The sequence below is a fragment of the Homo sapiens genome, chromosome 3 (genome assembly GCF_000001405.40).
Source record: "Homo sapiens chromosome 3, GRCh38.p14 Primary Assembly".
Lineage (NCBI taxonomy): Eukaryota > Metazoa > Chordata > Mammalia > Primates > Hominidae > Homo > Homo sapiens.
The window spans coordinates 103923278-103948459 of NC_000003.12; the positions used below are offsets into that span (position 1 = coordinate 103923278).

General features: G+C 33.8%; 1 long non-coding RNA gene across 1 annotated transcript in view; it reads left to right on the plus strand.

Annotated features, from left to right (window-relative positions):
• The first annotated feature begins 3896 nt into the window (after positions 1 to 3896).
• The window catches only part of LOC124909491 (uncharacterized), an 84567-nt gene continuing 63281 nt past the window's right edge, over positions 3897 to 25182 (plus strand). The window contains exon 1 of the long non-coding RNA XR_007096269.1: positions 3897 to 4078. This is a non-coding gene — a long non-coding RNA (uncharacterized LOC124909491). The remainder of the gene's footprint in view (positions 4079 to 25182) is intronic.

The window sequence follows — 25182 nt, forward strand, 5'->3', positions numbered from 1 at the left end:
TTTAAAATTTGAATATTCATTTACAACGTTAGGTCTTGAGAAAATAAACATAAATAAGATAAGGTATATATTCTCACGGAATTCACAGATTTAAAACTGTCCAAAATTCCAGTGCCACAGATAATCTGCTCCTAATGTTTTTTACAAAATTAAAAATCCATTTTAATTCTAATTCCATCATCTAAAACAAAGCCTCAATGCAACTACAGACTTAGGCCAAACAATATTGATAATTTTTTCATCTTATAGTTGTACATTTTCACCAATCCAGAAAACAACCAAGTATGTGTCTAAAATAACAAAATATAGTGTTTTGAAAATTGATTATAGTGAATTACCTGTGGCTTATTTTGAATCAATGACATTTCCTGTTTTATTCATTTATATAAGATTTACATTCCCTTCCCTAGGACCCATGAGCCAGACCACAAATCCTAACTCATTAAAAAGTATCATTTGTAGCTGATAAACTCCATCTACATTTAAGGATTGTAGCTTTACACAGTCAATGTTCGACCCGAGATGAGGTATGAGTGGAATTTCTTGTAATTCTGCAGCTTTTTACATGTTTAAAAATCAATAAGACTTTATTCAGCCACACTGTATCTTTCTTGTGCTTCTTAAGCCAATACATAATCACAAATTACAGAGTTAGGAGAGTTTAGTCATGTGGGATTTAAAACAATGTGCTGTGTATTTTAGTAGTAAATGCAAATAAAAATTTCAAAATTATTTCTGGAAAAGGTTTTGGAGTGTCATATATATTGCATGTTAAATGATATTAATTGACAATATAGATGATTATTTTAATGGAGAATTTAAATAAAATGTAATAATTTAATAAAATAAAAATTCTTAATAAAACAAAACAGTAAATTTGAGAATAAAAATAGAATTTCTTGGCCTGGCACAGTGGCTCATGCCTGTAATCCCAGCCCTTTGGGATGTCAAGGTGGGTAGATCACCTGAGGTTAGGAATTCAAGACCAGCCTGGCCAACATGGTGAAACCCTGTCTCTACTAAAAATAAAAAAAGAATAGTCAGGTGTGGTGGCACATGGCTGTAATCCCAGCTATTCGGGAGGCTGAGACATGAGAATCACTTGAACCTGGGAGATGGAGGTTGCAGTGAGCCAAGATCATGCCACTGCACTCCAGCCAGGGTGAAAGAGCAAGACTTTGCCTCAAAAAAAAGAAAAATAAAATAAAGAATTTCTTTAAAGTAGTAAAATTGAAATATTACAATGATATTTTAATCTATATGTATATATTTATGCATATACATATATATACAAATGTATACATGTTTTTTTCTTGAGAGTTTATGCATGCACTCTACTATAAAGATTTATGTCTGTGCAATTGGTATAATACCTTGTTTTTATGTGGCCTCCTCTCAAACAAGTGGCAATAAAATCTTTATAGCATCTAATACTGACATATTTTATTTATGTCTCTTGGTTTCTCTCCATTTTCCTTTTTAAACCACATAAATCAGCATCTTAGAAACAATGAGGTCATTGATAAGAGCTCAAAAAGACAGACTCAATTCAGAGCGTTTAACTTGAAAAAAAAAAATCAAGGGACTTAAGAAATGAAGTAATATGTAACATTATCCCCCAATAGAAGATTACCCATACAAAACTCAATACAGAAAAATGTTATTACATGTAGAATTTTGAGAGTATATTTCAATATCTGTATGTATTACTCTTAGATTGACAAAAGGGGCTGTGAGAGAAAGTTTGACAATCCTGGTAGGAAATACATTTTGGATTAAGAAGACTAGTGAACTTCCACAGGTTATGATCCACCCTCATCTTATTTAACTCTTCATATTTTACCAATTATTCCACGTTGGCCTCATAATGAACCCTCAGAAGGAATTAAATAATGAATCAGATTTTCTCTTATGAGTTACTTGAACTCACAGTTTTGCTTTACAATCTTTTCTTTATCACCACCCATAACTATCTACTTCTCCAGGTTAATTTGTTTTAGTCAATTCCAGCTTCTATAACAAACTACCATAGACTGGGTGGCTTAAACCACAAACATTTATTTCTGACAGTTATGGAGGGTACAGAATTCCAGATTAAAGCTGCAGCAAATCCAATGTCGGGTGAGGGCCCTCTTCCTGGTTTATAGTCTTCTTTTTCTATCCTCACAAGGTAGGTGGTGAGCAGAGAGGACGCAAGTTCTCATTTCTTATCCTAAGTGCACTAATCCTATTAATGAGGGCTCCACTCCCATAATCTAGTTACATATCAAAGGGTCCACCTCCTAATGCCATCACATTAGTGGTTAGAATTTCAAAATATGACTTTTTGGAGACATTCAGTTGAGAACATCAGTGTATTTTAATTCTTAGAAAATTGTATATTAAAATCTCAAATCCCTCTACCTCAAATGCCACCACTCTACTTTAGGTCTTGTCATTTCTTTCCTAGATATGTGATAGAACTGTAATTTGTCTTCAAATATGTAAGCAGGAAAAATGTAACTTTTGTGTGAATTAAGATGACTGCTCAATCTTTCACAGTTCCTTTTCCTAAATCAGAAATAACTCTCCAGTAATTGCAAATTGGTGTGATATCAGCAAAGCTACACCCCAAATAGAGCTACAAGGCCACAGCAAGTGCCATTAGCCATATCTAGAGAATAAGAAGTGGTTTTATTAGTTATCATGAAGAATGTCAAAATGTGTTTGTTAATTGGCACAATGGATGCTAGAAATTGGCTCTTATTAGTAAATGTAAAGTGATAATGATAACATATATTTTTTGTAGTAGCATTGTTACAGCTATACGTTACATGAGCTGGTCCTGTGTACAATGCCTCCAAGCCACCGTGGACACATCAGTAAAGTGAATCTATCTATTATTGTACACAGTGCAGAAACAGAATCACCCTGAATTTCAAACAGATGACTGAGAATCTGAAACCCAGTCTCTACTAAAAATACAACAACAACAACAAAAAATCAGCTGGGCGTGGTGGCGGGCGCCTGTAGTCCCAGCTACAGGCTGAGGCAGGAGAATGGCGTGAACCGTGAACCCCGGAGACGGAACTTGCAGTGAGCCGAGATCGCGCCATTGCACTCCAGCCTGGGCGACAGAGCAAGACTTCGTCAAAAAACAAACAAACAAAAAAACCCCACTCATTTTTGTATTAAAAAATTGCCAGCCCTTGAGAGGCAGAGCACCAAAAATACCCAAGGACATGCCACTGAGTGCCTTCTCTGGAAGGCTGACGGCCAGCCACATGTGGCCAGATCTGTCCTCACTTTTAAAGCTTATGTGAAACACTCCAGCTGTTCCTCTTTTAAGTCCTTCTATCTCAAGATTTTCCTCCTCTACTATTTGTAATTTCTTAAGCATGTCAGCAAACAATGAGCCAGCCTTCATGAGTTCTAAGTGTGAAGACTGGAGACTTTCCCTTTGTAAGGCTTAAATCTGAGTGCAGCAAAGAATGAAGAAACCGAACACCAGAATGTTAAATGATAGCGGAGCCGGTGCCAATTGAGGGAAACACTCCTACCCTCCCTTAGAGCTCACTTTGGTAATATTAATGTTTAACCGGTTAGCAAAATTAACACCATTATTTCAATAGCTACTCTGTTGTGCATAGTAAATGCTGCAAGATGAACATCACATTTGGTGAAGCTGGTTTGAGAAACTTTTGGGGGAAATTGTGCCTGGCCCTCAACAGGACCCTAAGCTCAGAGAAATGAACAGAGGCCCCTGAAACTGCTGTGTCTGCGACCATGCGTGTGCAGCTGGATCCCGTGGTAGCCAGCGAGACTCCACTTCCAGCAGATGAGGTGGACAATGAAGACAATGAGGATCAGGTCTGTCAGGGCGCTGCCCATGGAAACGGGGATCAGCATGTTTTTCCTCCTCCAGGAGACATTCCTCCGCGGATCAGACCATGCTCCTTCCACATTGAAAGCCTGTGCTCACACTTTGAATATGTTGACTGAAAGACCTTCATGAGCCGGACACGCTCCTTGGTGTTACACTTGCAGGAGTTGCCGATGGAGGCCTGCAGTACTCTCGGAGTTGTTGGCAGCTTTAAAGGTAGGGTCCAGAAGAGTCATATATATTTTTATAATCTATGGATTATAAAATTGATAACAAGATAATGTCCTAGGAATTATAAGCACCCCAAAGGTGGGGTTTTTTTAGAAACCCAATTGTTTAGAAAAAAAAAAGTTCTTTCTTTTTGTGAATAGGATATAAGAATTTAATGAATCTTATATCCTATATCTTTGAAAATGTTCTCAAAACTTGATTCCCAGGTAGGACTACACAAACAGTGGTAGAGAGAATTGCATATTGCCATTTGATAACAATATCATAAAACAATCCTGTCTCTGAAATTTTGTCACAGTGGCCTTATAAACCTATCAGTGGCAGTAGATGGATCAAAAAACAAAATAAAAAGGTGTGCAATTGACAATGTTTGTGCCCCCAACCCCAAATCCATACATCAAGCCCTTAATCCCAATGTGTTGATATTTGCACAGTGTATCCTTTGAAAGGTAATCAGGTCATGAAGGTGGAGCATGTGTGCATGAAATTAATGCCTTCATAAGGATACAAAATGTTTTGTATACTCATACTGATATAGGTGAATTCTTAACCACACCTGCAGTATCATCATTTTTCTTGTACCCACTGTGTTTCTTTTTATTTTATTCACCACACAAGCTTTAGAATATTTTTATATTACTCTCTTGCTTAAATTATATCAAATACTTCTGAAGGCTCTCAGAACATTTTCCAAGATCTTTCATGGGGCCGATTGATGACATCATCACCTCCTCTTCACACTAATTCTAGGCCATTCTCTCCTTCAATCACTATTCAATCACTACTTTTTGCCCATATTTACTTCCATCTTTGGGGTTCTTTCAACTCCTGGAACATTATTATCTTTTTTCAACTATTATTTCTTTTTAGGTTTCTCTTCAACATATACATATATGCCTAAAATACCTAAAAAAAAATCACCAAATAAGAGGTTTGCGGGGCCTAATAATCAGATACAAAGAATAAGTGTTTATTCTTTCAATGACCAAAATCAGAACTCACATAGTTTTGAAAGATACATTTTGATGGTAGAAATCTTCTTCTTCTTTGGTATTATAACACACATGCCCAAAACATTAGTAGCTTATAGCAGCAAACATACATTTCTCACCCACATTACAATATTATGTGAACATCTGTGGTTGACTGTTGTGACCCTTCTCCACATGTATTCTTATTCTGCAATCAAGGTTGAGAGTATTGTCCCTATCTTGGACATGACATTCTTATGGCAGAGGAAAAGAGCAAGAGAGCTGGTAGAAATAAGTAATGACTCGAAACCTTTGCTCAAAATTACCATATATTACTTTCTCTCATGCTGCATTGCAAAAAGTAAGTAACTATCCAAGACAATGAAATAAGAATTACATCCCTCAAACAAAAAGACTAACAGGGACCATGGCAAGGGGTGAGAATATATTTGCCTCGTGTAGGGGTGGCATATGATTACGTTTTGAACAATAATAAGATCTACGACAGAAACATAGCTACAAACGACTTTTCTGAGAAACCAGGCTTACATGACTTCAGAATAATAAGGTGTGGCATGTAATTAAATTAATATTATAAATCTATGAGAGCGAGGGGGGGACAGAAGTCTAAAGGCAGAAACACATGAAAAAAAAATTGATTTCTGAAACTTCTAAGAAATCTGAAATGAGTCCCAGTAAATTTCTAGGACATATTTTCCGAAGCATATTTAAAGAACACTGAGAAACAGAAAGACTAATCATCTGGAACCAGCATGGTTCACGAAGAACAAGTCATGCCAAAGCTTGTTGATAGAGTGCATCAGAATTTCAAAAGGCATCTAGGAGATTTTCTCATGATAATTTTGGATTCAAATCCAATGAGATAAACTGTCATTCATTCACTTCTCCCATGTTTTCATCTGTTCTACAATAATTTCATGAGAAAGACAGGCGGATTCCTTTTGAAATTCTGATACATGATTTCAAAAAAACTTGAAATAGGGAAATAAGAGAAGCAAAAGCAAACTCAAAAAAGAGAGGCAACAATAACTTCAATGTTAAGTACCAGAGTATTAGGCTACATAGTATTAAAGTCTCCCCTTTCAAAACATCCTGGAGATTTGTACTAAGGCTATAAGTGGAGCAAACTGACTCTAGGGAGAAGGCAACCTTGATGACTCAGGACAGAGAGTCTGAGAATCTTCAAAATAACCACAGTCTGATCTTACCAAAATTCCACATTTAAGAGTACATTAGCAGTAATTAGACATTATGAGATGAAGAATTTCAGATAATTTAGCCTAATCCACATCCTTATTGATTAGCTACACTGAAGATCAATTTGTTCAGAAGTCATTTCCTCTTCAAGATTCCATAAAACTGTAATTTGTTTGTATTAATCTAACCCTTTTATCATCTCCTCCACTGTTTCCTTTTCTATGTCCTTACTCTAACTGTTACCATTTTACAAATGATTATTTTTTATATTGCATCTATTTACTTGCTTTGTTTCCCTAATCGATAATGACTCCATTTCCAATTCTGGATACTCGCCTTTTATTTACTATCCCCCACCCCATCAATCTCCTTATAGATGACTTTGATTAATTTAGTAGGATGCCTTTGTGATGGTGGACACATTAAATTTTTTAAAAATGTTATTTTCCTCCTCTTCCAACATTTTTCAGGCTTCTAAACTAATAACAAGTCTGCTTTCAAATTTCACCAATTTTACAAAAATAATTTAAAATAAAACTTTTTAAAACTGATTTTTGTATCCTACTACTTTCCTGAATTCATTTATTAGTTCTAACAGGTTTCTTTCTTAGAGTCTTTAGGGATATATATATACACACACACATATACTTTAAGTTCTGGGATACATATTCATAACGTGCACGTTTGTTACATAGGTATACACGTGCCACGGTGGTTTGCTCCACCCATCAACCCATCATCTACATTAGGTATTTCTCCTAATGTTATCCCTCCCCTATCCCCCCACACCCTGACAGGCCCTGGTGTGTGATGTTCCCCTCCGTGTGTCCATGTGTTCTCATTGATCAACTCCCACTTATGAGTGAGAACATATGGTGTTTGGTTTTCTGTTCCTGTGTTAGGTTGCTGAGAATGATGGTTTCCCATGTCATCCACGTCCTTGCAAAGGACATGAACTCATCCTTTTTTATGGCTTCATAGTATTCCATAGTGTATATGTGCCACATTTTCTTGATCCAGTGTATTATTGATGGGCACTTGGGTTGGTTCTGAGACTTTGCTATTGTGAACAGTGCTGAAATAAACATACATGTGCATGTGTCTGTATAGCAGAATAATTTATAATCCTTTGCGTATATACCCAGTAATGGGATGGCTGGGTCAAATGGTATTTCTGGTTCTAGATCCTTGAGGAATCGTCACACTGTCTTCCACAATGGTTGAACTAGTTTACAGTCCCACCAACAGTGTAAAAGTGTTCCTATTTCTCCACATCCTCTCCAGTATCTATTGTTTCCTGAATTTTTAATGATCAGCATTCTAACTGGCATGAGATGGCATCTCATTGTGGTTTTGATTTGCATTTCTCTAATGACCAGTGATGATGAGCTTTTTTCATGTTTGTTGGCTGCATAAATGTCTTCTTTCTGTTCATATCCTTCACCCACTTTTTGATGGGGCGAAGTGTCTGTTCATATCCTTTGCCCACTTTTTGATGGGGTTGTTTTATTCTTGTAAATTTATGTTCTTTGTGGATTCTGGATATATTAGCTGTATGTCAGATGGATAGATTGCAAAAATTTTCTCCTAATCTGTAGGTTGCCTATTCACTCTGATGATAGTTTTTTTTGCTGTGCAGAAGCTCTTTAATTAGATCGCATTTGTCATTTTGGCTTCAGTTGCCATTGCTTTTGGTGTTTTAGTCATGAAATATTTGTCCATGCCTATGTCCTGAAAGGTATTGCCTAGGTTTTCTTCTAGGGTGTTTATGGTTTTAGGTCTTACGTTTAAGTCTTTAATCCAATTTGAGTTAATTTTTGTATAAAGTGTAAGGAAGGGGCCCAGTTTCAGTTTTCCACATATGGCTAGCCAGTTTTCCCAACACCATTTGTTAAATAGGGAATCCTTTCCCTGTTGTTTGTTTTTGTTAGGTTTGTCAAAGATCAGATGGTTGTAGATGTGTGGCATTATTACTGAGGCCGCTGTTCTGTTCCATTGGTCTATATATCTGTTTTTGAATCAGTACCATGTTGTTTTGGTTACTGCAGCCTTGTAGTATAGTTTGAAGTCGGGTAGCATGAAAATTTTTTCATCAAAAATTACTTCCATAAATGTTAATGAGTCTAATCCCACTGTATTTGTACTGATGATTCATATAGATCAACATTAATAAAGCAAGTGTCCAGCAGTGGAGGAAGCATATATGTAAACAAATAAATAATAATGTTGTTACTATATTAAGCAAACAGAATTCATTAAACGGGAACTGTGTTGATGTAGGAAGTTTTTGAAAGTCTTCCAAAAGAAGGCACATTTTAGCTTTCTATAATTGCTAAGCTATATTGAATGTTAAGTATGTAGAAGATGTAGATATAGGCCTTTTTAATGCTCTTTTTAATTGCCACAATAATCCTATAGGTTATTTTATCATTAATTTAAAGAAGGTGACACTGAGCATAATGCTAAACAGCTAGACCAATGACACATTACTAGCACTAATGATACGAGGAATAAGACAAAGACGAAGTGACTCTAGAGTCAAAGATGTTTCACTTTAGGAACATCACAGAAGGACAAATTGTGAGATGGTTTCAAATACGGAATGAAACATTTATTTATTTTTTCATTTAGACCAATATCCCTGATGCACATTGATGCAAAAATCCTCAATATAATAGTGGCAAGCCGAATCCAGCAGCACAGCAAAAAGCTTATCCACCATGATCAAGTGGGCTTCATCCCTGGGATGCAAGGCTGGTTCAACATGAAAATAAATAAACGTAATCCAGCATATAAACAGAACCAAAGACAAAAACCACATGATTATCTCAATAAATGCAGAAAAGAACTTTGACAAAATTCAACAGCACTTCGTGCTAAAAACTCTCAATAAATTAGGTATTGATGGGACATATCTCAAAATAATAAGAGCTATTTATGACAAACTCACAGCCAATATCACACTGAATGGACAAAAACTAGAAGCATTCCCTTTGAAAATGGGCACAAGACAGGGATGCCCTCTCTCACCACTCCTATTCAACATAGTGTTGGAAGTTCTGGCCAGGGCAATTAGGCAAGAGAAAGAAATAAAAGGTATTCAATTAGGAAAAGAGGAAGTCAAATTGTCCCTGTTTGCAAATGACATGATTGTATATTTAGAAAACCCCATCGTTACAGCCCAAAATCTCCTTAAGCTAATAAGCTAATTCAGCAGTCTCAGGATACAAAATCAATGTGCAAAAATCAAAAGCATTCTTATACACCAATAACAGACAAACAGAGAGCCAAATCATGGGTGAACTCCCATTCACAATTGCTTCAAAGAGAGGAAAATACCTAGGAATCCAACTTGCAAGGGATGTGAAGGACCTCTTCAAGGAGAACTACAAACCACTGCTCAAGGAAATAAAGAGGACACAAACAAATGGAAGAACATTCCATGCTCATGGATAGGAAGAATCAATATCATGAAAATTGCCATACTGCTCAAGATAATTTATAGATTCAATGCCATCCCCATCAAGCTACCATTGTCTTTCTTCACAGAATTGGAAAAACTACTTTAAAGTTCATATGGAACCAAAAAAGAGCCCGCATTGCCAAGACAATCCTAAGCCAAAAGAACAAAGCTGGAGGCATCACGCTACCTTACTTCAAACTATACTACAAGGCTACAGTAAACAAAACAGCATGACACTGGTACCAAAACAGAGATATAGACCAATGGAACAGAACAGAGCCCTCAGAAATAATACCACACATCTACAACCATCTTATCTTTGATAAATCTGACAAAAACAAGAAATGGGGAAATGATTCCCTATTTAGTAAATGGTGCTGGGAAAACTGGCTAGCCCTATGTAGAAAGCTGAAACTGGGTCCCTTCCTTACAACTTATACAAAAATTAATTCAAGATAGATTAAAGACTTAAATGTTAGACCTAAAACCATAAAAACCCTAGAAGAAAACCTAGGCAATACCACTCAGGACATAGGCATGAGCAAGGATTTCATGTCTGAAACACCAAAAGCAATGGCAACAAAAGCCAAAATTGACAAATGGGATCTAATTAAACTAAAGAGCTTCTTCACAGCAAAAGAAACTACCATCAGAGTGAACAGGCAACCTACAGAATGGAAGAAAATTTTTGCAATCTACTCATCTGACAAAGGGCTAATATCCAGAATCTACAAAGAACTCAAACAAATTTACAAGGAAAAAAACAACCCCATCGAAAAGTGGGCAAAGGATATGAATAGACATTTCTCAAAAGAAGACATTTATGCAGCCAACAGACACATGGAAAAATGCTCGTCATCACTGGCCATCAGAGAAATGCAAATCAAAACCACAATGTGATACCACCTCACACCAGTTAGAATGGCGATCATTAAAAAGTCAGGAAACAACAGGTGCTGGAGAGGATGTGGAGAAATAGGAACACTTTTACACTGTTGGTGGGACCTTAAACTAGTTCAACCATTGTGGAAGACAGTATGGCAATTCCTCAAGGATCTAGAACCATAACTACCATTTGACCCAGCCATCCCATTACTGGGTATATACCCAAAGGATTATAAATCATGCTGCTATGAAGACACATGCATATGTATGTTTATTGCGGCACTATTCACAATAGCAAAGACTTGGAACCAAACCAAATGTCCATCAACAATAGACTGGATTAAGAAAATGTGGCACATATACACCATGGAATACTATGCAGCCATAAAAGATGATGAGTTCATGTCCTTTGTAGGGACATGGATAAAGCTGGAAGCCATCATTCTCAGCAAACTATCGCAAGGACAAAAAACCAAACACCACATGTTCTCACTCATAGGTGGGAATTGAACAATGAGAACAACTGGACACAGGAAGGGGAACATCACACACTGGGGCCTGTTGTGGGGTGGGGGAAGAGGGGAGGGATAGTGTTAGGAGATATACCTAATATAAATGACGAGTTAATATGTGCAGCACACCAACATGGCACATGTATACATATGTAATAAGCCTGCACATTGTGCACATGTACCCTAGAACTTAAAGTATAATAAAAAATTATTTTTTCATTCCATAAATATTTTACCCTCTCTTAAGCTCCAGGCTCATGGATTTGAAGATATATAAACGTCAAACCTGTCTTACATTCATGGATAAATTCCACTTAGTCATGGTACATAATTTTAACATTTTATTTATTTTATACAATGTTGTATTTAATTCCCAAAGTTTTGTTTAGAATTTTTGCATATGTGTTCACTAAGGATGTTGATATGTAGATCTGTGTTTTATCTGATTTTCTTCTCTTTTTTTTTTTTTCAAATTTTCATATAATGGTAATTTACTAATAGAATGAGTGAGAAGAATACCTTCATTTTAAATCTTCTGGAAGAATTTCTGTATAATTAATATTATTTTTTCTATATTATATTTGTTAGAAATTACAAGGGGAAACATCCAGACCTGGGGTTTTTCTTATGAGAGGATCTTAGCTATAATTTCAATTTATTGTATAAAAGTGTGTTATACAGGTTATTTATTTCCTCTTGAGGGAGCTTTTGCAACTTCTGTCTTTCAATGACTTGTTCATTTAATATAAATTGTAAATTTATTTTCTTGAGGAAGCTTTTACAATTTTTGTCTTTCAATGACTTGTTCATTAATCTAAATTGTTAATGTGTTTTCTTTCATTCTCTATCTCACTTAAGGGAATTAAGTATGTTTTTATATCTATTTCATCTTCAAACTTTTGTTGTGGTTTTTGTAACCTTTAAGACTTATAGTATATACTATCATCAAATTAGTTATAATAGCCCTTTGTTAACCTCTTAATAGCTTTAGAACATGTATTGAAGCCATCGCTCTCATTTTGGATATTAGTCACAGAGTCTCTGTAATTTCTTGTTAGTTGCTCTCATCAACGCTTTGTGAATATATTTTTATTAAGTCAAATAACCAGGATTAACTTCTGATTTTCTGTTTTTCTGTTATTTCACTGATTTACAATCTAATCTTTATCATTTTCTCTTTTTAATTTTGTTTATAATAGACACAAAGAAACTGTACATATTTAAGGGATTGAGAATGGTGTTTCAATCCATGTGTACATTGCAGAGTAATCAAAGCAGAGTAGTGAGCATATCTGTAACCTCAAATCTTTATCATTTCTTTTTGGTGATAATTTTCAAGATCCTCTTTTTTAGCTATCTTGAAATATACAATGCATTGTTAGTTATAGTCATTCTACTGTGTAACAGAACAACAGAACTTATTCTTCCTATTAATCTTTAACTTTGTACTCTTTAACAAACCTCTCCTCATCCCTTTACCCAGACTCGCCCAGACTCTGATAACCATTATTCTACTCTCTACTTCTATGTGATCAGCTTTTAAAGATTCAACATATGAGTAAGATCATGTAGTATTTACCTTTCTGTACGTGGCTTATTTCTCTTAACATTTTTTCTTCCAGTTTTAGCTATGTTCCCATGAATGACAGGTTTTATTCTTTTTATTAATAGTATTCCATTGTGTATCTGTACCACAATTGCTTTATCTATTCATCTTTTGATGAACATTTAGGTTGATTCCATCTCTTGCTATCGTGGATAGTGCTGCAATAAACAGGATGCAGATATCTCAACTTACTGATTTTAATTCCTTTGGATTTATATACAGTAGTGAAATTGCTGGATCATACAGCAGTTCTATTTTTAGTTTTTTGAGGAAACTTCATACTATTATCCTTAATGGCTTTGCTGAAATACATCCTACCAACAATATTTAAGAGTTTCTCTTTCTGATCTTTATCATTTTCTTTCTTCTACTTACCTTGGATTTAGTGTGCTCTTCTTCTTGTAGATACTTAAAATTGAAGCTGCAGTTACCTATTTGAGACCTTCTTCTCTAGTTGAGAGATTTATTGCTATAAAATTTCTTGTAAATACCACAATAGTTAGTGGCTTCTCACAAATTTATATCAAAATTTCTATTTCCACTAACGTTACATTAAAATACCTGTGTTTCACTAACATACTGTTCAAAATACTATCTACTATCCCTTTTTGTTTCTTCTTTAACTTGTGAGTTCTTTAGAAATATTTTATTTGGTTTCCAAATATCTTAGAATTTTACAAATAGCTTTTTAAATTTATTTCTAATCAATAACATTTTCATCGTGATCAGAGAACATATTATGATGTGACTTTAAAAAATCTATTGAGACATGTTTTGTGTCCCAGAATATGATCTGATTTATTATAGTTACAAGTGCACTTAAGAAGAATACATATTCTTCTGTCGTTGGGTAGAGTGTTCTACAAAGGCCAATTACGTAAATAGCTTGATAGTGTTCCTAGCTTCTATATCCTAACTGACTTTCTTTTTTTAATTATACTTATTCCATAATTTATTGATATACTGATATTGAAAACCAAATAAGATTATTAATTATTAAATTTCCCTTTGCAAGTCTATGTCTTATGTATTTATATTTGCTTTATGTGTTTTATAATTCATAAAGACATAAATGTTTAGCATTTTTATGTACTCTTGGGTAATTGATCTTTTTATCATTATGAAATACCCCTTTACCCTGGTGATATTATTTGCTGTTAAATCTACTTTGTCTGATATTAATGTAGCCACACCAGTTTTCATTAGATTACTGTTAGCATGGCATATGTTTTGTCACATTCTTTACTTTTGACCTACTTTTTTTTTCTTTGCATTCAACATAGTCAGCATTATGCTACTACTATTTACCTACAACTGCTATCTATTATATACTACCTAATGTATGTAGGCAGCATACAGTTGGGTCTTGCTTTTCATTCTACCTGACCATCTTTGCCTTTTAATTTAGGTGTGCAGATCATTTATAGTTAAATACATAGGTTTAAGATTATCATCTTACTATTTGTTTTCAATGTTTCATCTCCTTTTTGTTTCCTTCCTCTTATTACTCTCTCCATTTCCTTCCTTCCTTCCTTTTTTTATTTCTTTTTTTATCTCTCTCTCTCAAATAAATTAAGTATATTTTCATATCTATTTCATCTTCAAACTTTTGTTGTGTTTTTTAATCTTTAAGATTTATACTATACATCTTTGTGCTTTGGAACATTCCAGTGGAAGACTGTAGCATCTCAATAGCTGCAGGTAATGTTCTTACACTCAGAAATGTATTAGCTGAAGATATATTTCAAATGTTTATCTTGTTCCATTCATTCAATTGAATACCAGTTTCTGTTAGTTTTATCTATAATCTATACTTTTAGTTATTATTTCAGGTATTATTCCTGCACAATAATTTAATTTCAAACTTTGTGTCCTAATGTTATTGATTGATTTGTGTTTCCTTATTCTCAAATTCATATATTGAATTCTTAATGCCAAGTACTTCATAATGTCACTGTATTTGGAGATAGGGCCTTTAAAGAAGTAATTAAATTAAAGTGAGTCAAGGTTGAACCCTGATTCGGTCTGACTATTGTCCTTGTAAGGAGAGGAGATTAGGACATGCAGAGAAATACCAGGTACATGTGTGCACAGAGGGACAAGCTTATGAAGAGGTAGCGAGAGATCAACTGTCTGCAGACTAAGGAGAGAGTCCTCAGAGAAAACTAATCCTGTCAGCACCTTGATCTTGGACTTCCATCCTAAAGAACTGTAAAAACATAAATTTCTGTTGTATACACCTCCCAGTTTGTGTTAGTTATCAAATCCCTAGCAAACTAATACAATTAGAAAACAACAATTGATTATTTCTCACAACACTAGATAATAAACTTAGAAATTGCTTGCCTGGTAGTTTTCTGCTATGTGTATTCTTGTCTGGGGTCGCTTAAACAGCTGGCAGCTGGCAGCTGGGCTTAACTGAAAAGTCAATCATAATTTTGCTCACATGTCTGGTGCTTTGATATTCCTTCAATTTCCCTTTCTATTTCCATGCGTTTTCTCCCTATTCAGTATTACAATTTAATTTTCTTCAGAGCATGGTCACTGGATTTCCCAGAATGAAAGCATAAGCTACTAGGTATCTAAAGTCACAAACCCTGAACTAGGACAACAGCACTTTCGCCATATTTTCTTGGTTAAGGCAAGTCATCAACTTAGCTAAGAGGCAAGGGCCAGGTGATAGGCTCTACTTGATTGTTGATGTGGCATTACAAGGAGAGAAGGAATGTATGGTGGTGTTCTTTAAAAACTATGTTACACAATCACACTTTTCATTTATTTTCTTTGTGCATAGCAACATTTAATGCTATTTCTAAAGAAGACTCAAGAAAAATATATTATTCTCCATTTACATAAAAAGCATTCCAAATTTAGTTATTTAGAAATGCTAATTCCTGAAGTAGCAGCACACATTATTAATACTCTAGTAGTTCATTCCAGAAAATTCTAGGATGTTAAACAATTAAGACTCACTCTCTAAGTATCTCTTCACATAAAACCTCACCATTCAGTAGGTAACATGTTTGTCATTTCTGATCTTTTTCCTCTGTTGTGATGTGAAGCTTAGTTTATATTTCTCTCTTATTTGCAACCCACCCACATAAAAATAAATTGTCCTTTTTTCTTTCACTTTTAGTTGTCATGTAACAATTGTACAAATTTATGAAAACACTGAGTGATATTTTCCTACATGCATACCATGTGTAATGATTAAATCAGGATAATTAGCATATCCATCGCTTAAAATATTTATCATTTCTTTTAGTGAACATTCAAAATCCTCTCTTCTAGCTTTTTGAAGTTATACAATAAATTATTGTTAACTATGTTCATGCTGGAGTGCTATAGACCATTAGAACTTATTGCTTCTTTCTTGCTTTAATTTTGTGTCTGTCAATCAATGTCTCCCTGCCCTCCCCTCCTCCCTACCCTTCCAAAACTCTAATAACCACAATTTTATTCTCTATTTCTGTGAGATCAAATTTATTTTTGCACCCCCATAAGAGTGAGAACATGGATACTTATCTTTCGGTGCTTGAATTATTTCACTTACTATGATGTCTTCCAGGCTTATCCATGTTATCACAAACAATGGGATTTCAAGCATTTTTATGGTTGAATATTATTTCACAGTGTGTGTGTATGTGTGTGTGTGTGTGTGTTTGTGTGTATTTTTTCTTAACATCACATTTTTCCATCCATTCATCTGTTGATAAATATTTAGGTTTGTTTCCTATCTTGGCTACTGTGAATAGTGCTGCAATAAACATGGAAATGCATATATATCTTTGATATACTGATTTCCTTGTCTTTGGATAAATATCCAGTTATAGGATTTCTGGGTTATATGGTAGTTATCTTTTAATTTTTTTAGAAATCTCCATACTGTTTTCCATAATAAATGTACTAACTTACATTCCAACCAACAGTGTATAAGAGTTCTCTTTTCTCTGAATCCTAACCAGTATTTGTTATTTTTTGTCTTTTTGATGATAGCCGTTCTAACCAGGGTGAAACATTCTCATTATGGTTTTAATTTTCATTTCCCTGATAACGTGATGTTGAGCATTTTTTTCATATATTTGTTGGTCATTTGAATGTCCTTTTTTAAGAAATGTCTATTCAGATCACTTGCCTACTTTTAAATTAGATTATTGGTTTTTGTTGTTGTTGTCGTCACTGTTTTTGCTGTTGAGTCCCATATACATTCTGGATATAGGTTCTTTATTGGATGGATAGTTCGCAAATGTTTTCTTTTATTCTTCAGACTGTCTCTTCACTCTGTTGATTGTTTCCATTTCTGAGCAGAAACTTTTTAGTTTGATATAGTCTCATTTGTCTATTTTTAGTTTTGTTGCCTATGCTTTTGAAGTCTTGCCAATAAAGTATTCACACAGTCCTGTGTCCTAAATCACTTCTGCTATGTTTTTTTCCTAGTAGTTTTATAGTTTGGGGTATCATATTTGTCTTAATTCATATTGAGTTGATTTTTGTATATGGTGGTATACAGTAGTCTAGTTTCTTTTTTGCATATTTATATCCTGTTTCTCAGTACCATTTATTGATAAGGCCACCTTTTTCCAATGTATGTTCTTGGCACCTTTGTCAAAAATTAGTTGAGTATCAATACATAGATTTATTTCTGCATTCTCTATTCCATCCCATTGCTTTCTGTGTTTTTATACCAATAGCATCATGCTTTGGTTACTATAGCCTGTAGAATATTTTGAAAACAGGTGGGGTGATGCTTTCAGCTGTGTTATTTTTGTTAAGTATTGCTTGAACTATTCAGGGTCTTTTGTCACTCCATACAAATTGTAGGATTCCTTTTTATTCTAGTTATTTGAAAGATGCCATAGGTATTTTGACCGGGATTGTATTGAATCTGTGCATTGCTTTGGTTAGTATCTCATTTTAACAATATTAATTCTTCCAATTCATGAGCGTGGGATGTCTTCTGATTTGTGTGTGTGTGTGTGTGTGTGTGTGTGTGTGTTTCCCCTTAGATTTCTTTCATCAGCGTTTGTAAAGGTTTTCATCTCTTTGAGCAAATTTACTTTTAAGTATTTTATTTCATGTACCTATTGTAAATCAATTGCTTTATTTTTCGGCTAGTTCATTATTAATGTACAGAAACATTACCGATTTTTATATGCTGATTATGTATTCTACATCTTTACTGAATTTGTTTATCTGTTCTAAGAGTCTTTGGTGGAGTCTTTAGGTTTTTCTATATTTAATATCATATTATCTACAATGAAATAGAATTTTGTCTCATCCTTTCTAATTTAAAATCCTCTTATTTCTTTCTCTTGCCTAATTGCTCTATGATTTCCAGTACTATGTTGAATAAGAGTGGTAAAAGTGACCATCCTTATCTTGTTCAAGTTCTTAGATACAAAGCTTTTAGCTTTTCGCTGTTAAGTACAATGTTAGCTGTGCATTTGTTATATACCCCCCTCATTGTGTTAAGGAATGTTCCTTCTGTATCTAATTTATTGAGAATTTTTGTCACAAAGGATATTGAATTTTATTGAATTCTTATGCTGCATCTATGGAGATGATCATCTGTTTTTTGTTCTTCATCATGTTTATGTAATGCAATAAATTTACTGGTTTGCGTATGTTGAATAATCTTTGCATCACTGGGATAAATCTCACTTGTTCATGATGTACTTTTTTTTTATGCTGTTGGATTCAGTTTGATTGCCCATATTTTGTTGAAGATTTTCCTATGTTCACCAAGGATATTGACCTGTAGTTTTATTTTTGCTGTGTCCTTATCTGGTTTTGTTATCAGGGTAATGCTGGCCTCATAGAATAAAAAGGAATCCCTCCTCTTAGCTTTATGAGAGTTTGAGAACTGCTATAAATTATTCTTTAACAGTTTGATAGAATTCAATCGAAATGCCATTTGGTATTGGGCTTTTCTTTGTTGGGAGCCTTCTTATTTCTGATTCAGTTTTGGTACTTGTTCTGTTAGGTTTTCTATTTATTTTTGGTTAGTCTTGAAAGATTATATGTATTATCCATTTTCTCTACATTTTCAAATTTGTTGGTGTATAGTTGTTCATAATAGTTTCAAATAATCTTTTATATTTCTGTGGTATCAATTGTAATGTTTACTCTTTAACTTCTGATTTTGCTTGGTTCTCTCTCTCTCTCTCTCTTTTTTTTAGACTAGCTGATGGTTTATGAATTTGTTTATGCTTTCAAAAAGCCAACTTTTTGTTCTGTTGATATTTTCTATTTTTTACCTCTATCTTGTTTACTTCTTCTCTGGTCTTTATTATTTATTCCTTTATATGAATTTTGGGCTTGGTTTGTTCTTGCTTTCTTTCTACCCTTTTCATGTAGGGATTTATCACAGTAAAATTCCCTCTCAGTACTGACTTAGCTATATCCCATAGGTTGTAGTGTGTTCTGTTTCTATTTTTATGTGTTTTAATTTCTAAATTTCCTCTGAATTTCTTCATGGACAAGTTTGTCCTTCGGGTATATGTTGTTTAATTTTTTATTTACTTGTACAGTTTCTAGTTTCTCTCATTATTAATTTCTAATAGTATTGCACTGTGGTCTGAGAAGACACATGACATAATTTTAACTTTAAAAATGTCATTGAGATTTGTTTTATGGCCTAACGTATTATCTTTCTTGGACAATGTTTCATATACTGTTGAAAATAATGCAGATTCTGCAGCTGTTAGATGAAATGCTCTGTAAATATCTGTTAGGTCCATTTGGTCTATGGCACAGTTTAAGTCTAAGGTTTATTTGTTGATTTTCTTGTTAGATGATCTTTCTAAAGCTAAAAGTCAGATATTGTAGTGCCCAGCTATTATTGTATTGGAGTTGATATCTCTCTATGGCCCTAGTAATACTATTTTTATATATCTGGATGCTCTGTGTGTTGGGTTCATATACCTCAACAATTTTTACATCCTCTTTGTCCATGACCTTTTTTCTCTATTTTTATATTTTTCTTTTTTTTATTATTATTATACTTTAAGTTTTAGGGTACATGTGCACAATGTGCACGTTAGTTACATATGTATACATGTGCCATGCTGGTGTGCTGCACCTACTAACTCGTTCTTTTTATATTTTTCAACTTAAGGTATATTTTGTCTAAGTGCAGCCACTCCTGCATTTCTTTGGTTTCCATTTGTGGAGAATATCTTTTTCCATTCCTTTACTTTCAGTCTATGTGTGTTTTTCTGAGCAAAATGAGTATCTTTTAGGCAGTCTATAGTTGGGTCATAATTTTTTATTCATTCAGCCAGTCTGTATATTTAACTGGAGAATTTACATTATTCACTTTCAAGGTTGTTATTAAGTGTTAAGGATTACCACTTTCATTTAGTTAATTGAACTGTGATTGTTTAGAATATCCTTTTTTCCTCTCTTCCTCTCTAATCATTGATATTTGCAGTGTGGTGGGGTTTTCTTTAACAATAATGTTTGATTCCTTTCTCTTTCTTATTTGTGTATCTGTTCTTTCATTGAAACACAAAAATGTAAAACTCATATCTTTCTGTGGCATCTCTAATTACATACAGCAAAACATATAAAATGGGTGTTTATTTCTGACATTTATAATTCAAAACTTTGGTAAAAAGCTACACTTAAAAATTTTACTTGAGATAACAAAAAATAACTAACATCAGAAATTTCTTATAAAAATAATAAATACGATTTTATTTTAAAGTGCTGTATATTGTATGAATGAACAATTTAGAAGAGAAAAGTAGTTCTTCTGAATTGCTACATCCATTATTTTACAGCATGAATGTTTTCTTTAAAAAGTGAAACTACCGAATAAAACAAAAAAGGCTACATCTCCTCTAAAATTTTGTCATATTTTGTTTATGTCTAACAGAAAAAAAAGACAAGTGAAAGTTACAGACTTCCTTCAATAATAAGAATTAAAATACAATCAAAATGTTTAAATAGTATTAAGAGTCCAAAATTTAAAACAATACACTTCCATAATATTCTCTCTTAAGACAATATTTAATGAAATGAGGCACTGAAATGAGAAATAGCCTGTGAATTCTTTTTGTTTTTTAGAACTAATCTTTAAATATTGAAAACACATCAAGATAAACATAAAATATACAAAATTTGTAGCTGCTGCTCTCAAATACTTGACCCCTAATGCTCTGTACCTCCCAAGCGCTACAGAATACAGAAAAGCTCTATAGATGTTTCCAGGAAAAAAAAATAGTTTTATTTATTGACAGTAACTATAAACCCAAGTCATAATGAATATTAAGTATATAAGAATTTAATCTTGGAGGTAGTTTAAGAGAATCATTATCATTATTGTTGTTATTATTATTTTCTAAATGACCTGAATTCTTAATTAATAATTAAACTAGGCATGTATTGGGTTTTATAATTTATATGTTATTTAATCATTTGTTCAATGATATATGTGGCTGCTACAATGTTAAGAAAAATCATATTTGTCTTCCATGCTATTTTAACTGAGGTAATCTTGACATTACGTTAGTTAATACCATCTGTGTCAAAGAAAAAGCCTATAAAATAAGAAAAGACAAGTTACTAAATATAGAGTATTGCAGCTATTTCACAAGGTCAGGTGATTGAAAGGACTCTTAATACTTCATAGGATGTATTCATATCCATATAAAAGTTGAATAAAGGTAAATAATATGGTATAGGAAGAGAAACAATGTATGCATAATCATCAGGGGCCTTTGTCATCCTGGTATAGTTACCTAGAGTCTTTTTTTAATTGTATAACATACGCTTAGTATTTAGATTATGAACTCCAAAATAATAGGCAAGGAAGATTGGTTCAGGAAAGCCAAACTCAACATTTACAGTGGGGCCTTTTATAGCCTATTGGTCACATAGACAAATCTGGCTGTACAGCCAGTTAAATCAGGTTTATACCATCAATCTTTATATTCTTAACATGGAAAAGCTAGCCGTAATTCCCTGAAGAAGAGCTTCAAACTTTAAAAGCATATCAATTAATCAATTGTTATTCCTTCTCATACTCATTTTGATCAAAGTTTAGCTTTAGCCTTTTAATTTGTGTCCTGGATAAAGAAAGAGAAACTTAGACTGGGACAACATTTGAGGACATATTTACTGAGACCTTCCTTCCAGAAATTACAAAGGAAAGCAATTCAAAAGACATGAGTCCAACAAATTCTGAGTAGGATTCATATGATTTTTTTTAAAATCAACTTGAATACAAATCACAGTAAAACCAAAAGGTCATGAAAAACTAGAACAATAGATCATTTAAAACAGAGAAAAAGATTATTTTCAAAGTAGCAATATTTATTGACAGAAGACTTACCAATAACTGCAACAAACTTCAGAAGAAAATGGAATGTGTTGAAGGAAAATAACTTCCATATTCAAATTTTATGCCCAGCAAAATGGCTTAAGAATAAAAATAAAATTATTTCCACAAAAAACAAACATGAAAAAAATTAAACTGAGTGTAACACTACCAAAATCATAAAGGCAATTATTAAGGACACAACTCAGACAAAATGAATGTCATCCTAGAGAGTACGTCTATGATGGGACAACTTCTGAGGTACAAAGAAAATGGTAATTACATGAGTGAATCTAATATGCACCAATGTTTTAAGCAGTACTAATAATTTATAACATATAACAATACTTTTTTTTTAATTGACAAAATAACATGGAAGTCAAGAACTAGGTAAGCAGAGTGCAATTACTTTAGGGTCCTAGTATTTGTGCAATTGCTGGATAGATGAAGGGATTATATTCAGATTTGATAAATTATATTTTCACATTATAATCTATACGAACATATTTTAAATGGTTAAGAACATCATATGTGACTCCCAATTATAGAAAACCACAATATATTCAAAGAATTACAAGAAAGGAGAGAAAAATAAATATGAATAAATGCAGTTCAAAAGTGTAGGAAAAAAAGATAAATATTAATTATTAAATATGTCAATGATTACATTGAACATAAACTCAGTATTTTAAAAGCAAAAGGTGTCAAATTTGACTAACGAATCCAAGCATACGCTTTTATAAGACACAGTTCAATCATAAAGACAAAGAATATTTTTAAAAAGCAGAAAAAATTTAACGGTGGCTCACGCCTGTAATCCCAGCACTTTGGGAGGCCAAGGAGGCAGATCACGAGGTCAGGAGATCGAGACCATCCTGGCTAAAACAGTGAAACCCCGTCTCTACTAAAAATACAAAAAATTAGCTGGGCGTGGTGGCGGGCGCCTGTAGTCCCAGCTACTCGGGAGGCTGAGGCAGGAGAATGGCGTGAACCCGGGAGGCGGAGCTTGCAGTGAGCCGAGATCCAGCCACTGCACTCCAGCCTGGGCAACAGAGCAAGACTCCGTCTCAAAAAAAAAAAAAAAAAAAAAAAAAGGCGGGGGTGCGTAATTTTAAAAAACTACTCAAAGGAAAGTAATTACTGCAGCCATAATATAATCTTGCAAAACAAATGCTAAGGGGGAAAGTTGTTCTAGGCATAAAGAATTTCATTTATAAAGATTAAATATTTAATTTTCCAGAAAGCTAAGTCCATTTTAATTTCATATACATCGTTAATAGAGGATTCATCTTTATAAAGGAAGTTTTCAAAACTACACATAGAAATAGACAAGACTAACATAATAGTGAAATATCTTAAAGTACTGCCCCAATAATTGAGGTATACAAAATATCAATAAGGATATTGAAAACGGAAACAAAATTATTGAGTCTGACATTTATTGGATATATCCGTAAAGAACACCATACCTCAAAACTGCAGACTAGAAATGTTTTCCAAATAAAGCAAGTTTCAACAAATTCTATATATTTGACATAATACACCATATATCTCTGACAATAATGCAATTAAGCTAGAAATCAAAACAATGACACTAACAATAAAAATTTAGACAACTTTCATGCTTGAAAATGTAAAAACACATTTCTCAATGATCTATGATTGAATAAACAATTAAATATATGTGTAACTTGACTTTTGCTTCAACTAAGTTTGTAGAAAGCCACAGGAGAATGTCACTTCTACCCTAACAAGCTCTAGCTACAAAAATGTACAAAATCTAGACTCCATCTAAGAGCTAGCTAACAAGGTAAATCGAATTCCAAACATCACAGTGGCAAGTTCCTCCAAAGAGAGAGAACACAAACACTATTCCACCTTTGACAGACTTCAAAGAGAGAGGGAACTGCCATAAAGCAGATAACAAGAAAATGACTGAATGTTTACCAAGACCTGAAAGGCTGAGCATTTTGTCCAGACATAACCAGTCTGTACTCATCAGCGCTTTTCTATTGGCTTTTGCAGAGCACTGATGAGAAGATGGAGAAGGACAGGAAAAAGACAGATTCAACCTGTGGCAGAGAGACACCACATAGATTTTAGTTTCTCTATTCCTGGAATTTCACTTTGCCCCAGCTCCCCACGAAGACCAGACAAAGACTTACTGTCTCTGGAAAAGGAGTAGAAGCAAAAAGGCAATGCTACTGGAGGAGGCCCAGAAAAGCGCTTCCTGCATGTGCTCCTGCTTGAGTCCTAAATTGCACAAGGCAGATTTTTATTACCTTGGACTTTTGGGTCTGTGTAGGGTGGGGATGAGTGGTAGGCAGGAAAGCTAATAAGGCTTTGAAAGTAATCCCAGGTGCATAAGGCCCGTCTGAGACCCGAGGCTGAAGGAGAACAGGGAAAGCTCCCCTCTACCTTAATCTTTACATCGCACCTTAAATATTTGTAAAACACATATCCAACTAAGGACTTGAAGCCAGATTATCTAAAGAACTATTACAAAAATAATAAAAATAACAAAATATTAAAAACTCAATACAAGGTACCAAGATTTGATTGGCTGCTCCCTCACAAATGATGCATAAACAGATACAAGCACATGAAAACATACTTCATATCTTGCATTAAGAAAACCCAAGTGAAATCAATGGGATAGTGCTACAGGCTTACTTGAATGGCTAAAATTAAAAAAAAAAAAAAGATTACCAATGTGAATACTGAGGAGGAGGTAAAGCAACTGGAACTTTTTAGACACCATCGGTGTAAATGCAAGTAGTACAACTACTTAGGAAGACACCACAGTTTCTTGAAAAATTTAATACATAGCTCTCAATATAACCCAGGCATTTTACTTCTAAGTATTTACCCAAGAAAAATGAAAACATACCTTTACACAAAGGCCTCTATTTGTATCAACTTTCTCATAATCTATTATAAACAATTTCCAGACTAGAAATAAATGAACAAATTGCAATTATCTATTTAATGGAATAGTGTTAACTCATTAATAAAATTAATATGCAACAACAACGATCTTATAACTGAAAGAAGACAGAGAAAAGGCTACATAGTAGATGCTTCATTTATATAACATTCTGAAAGTGGCAAA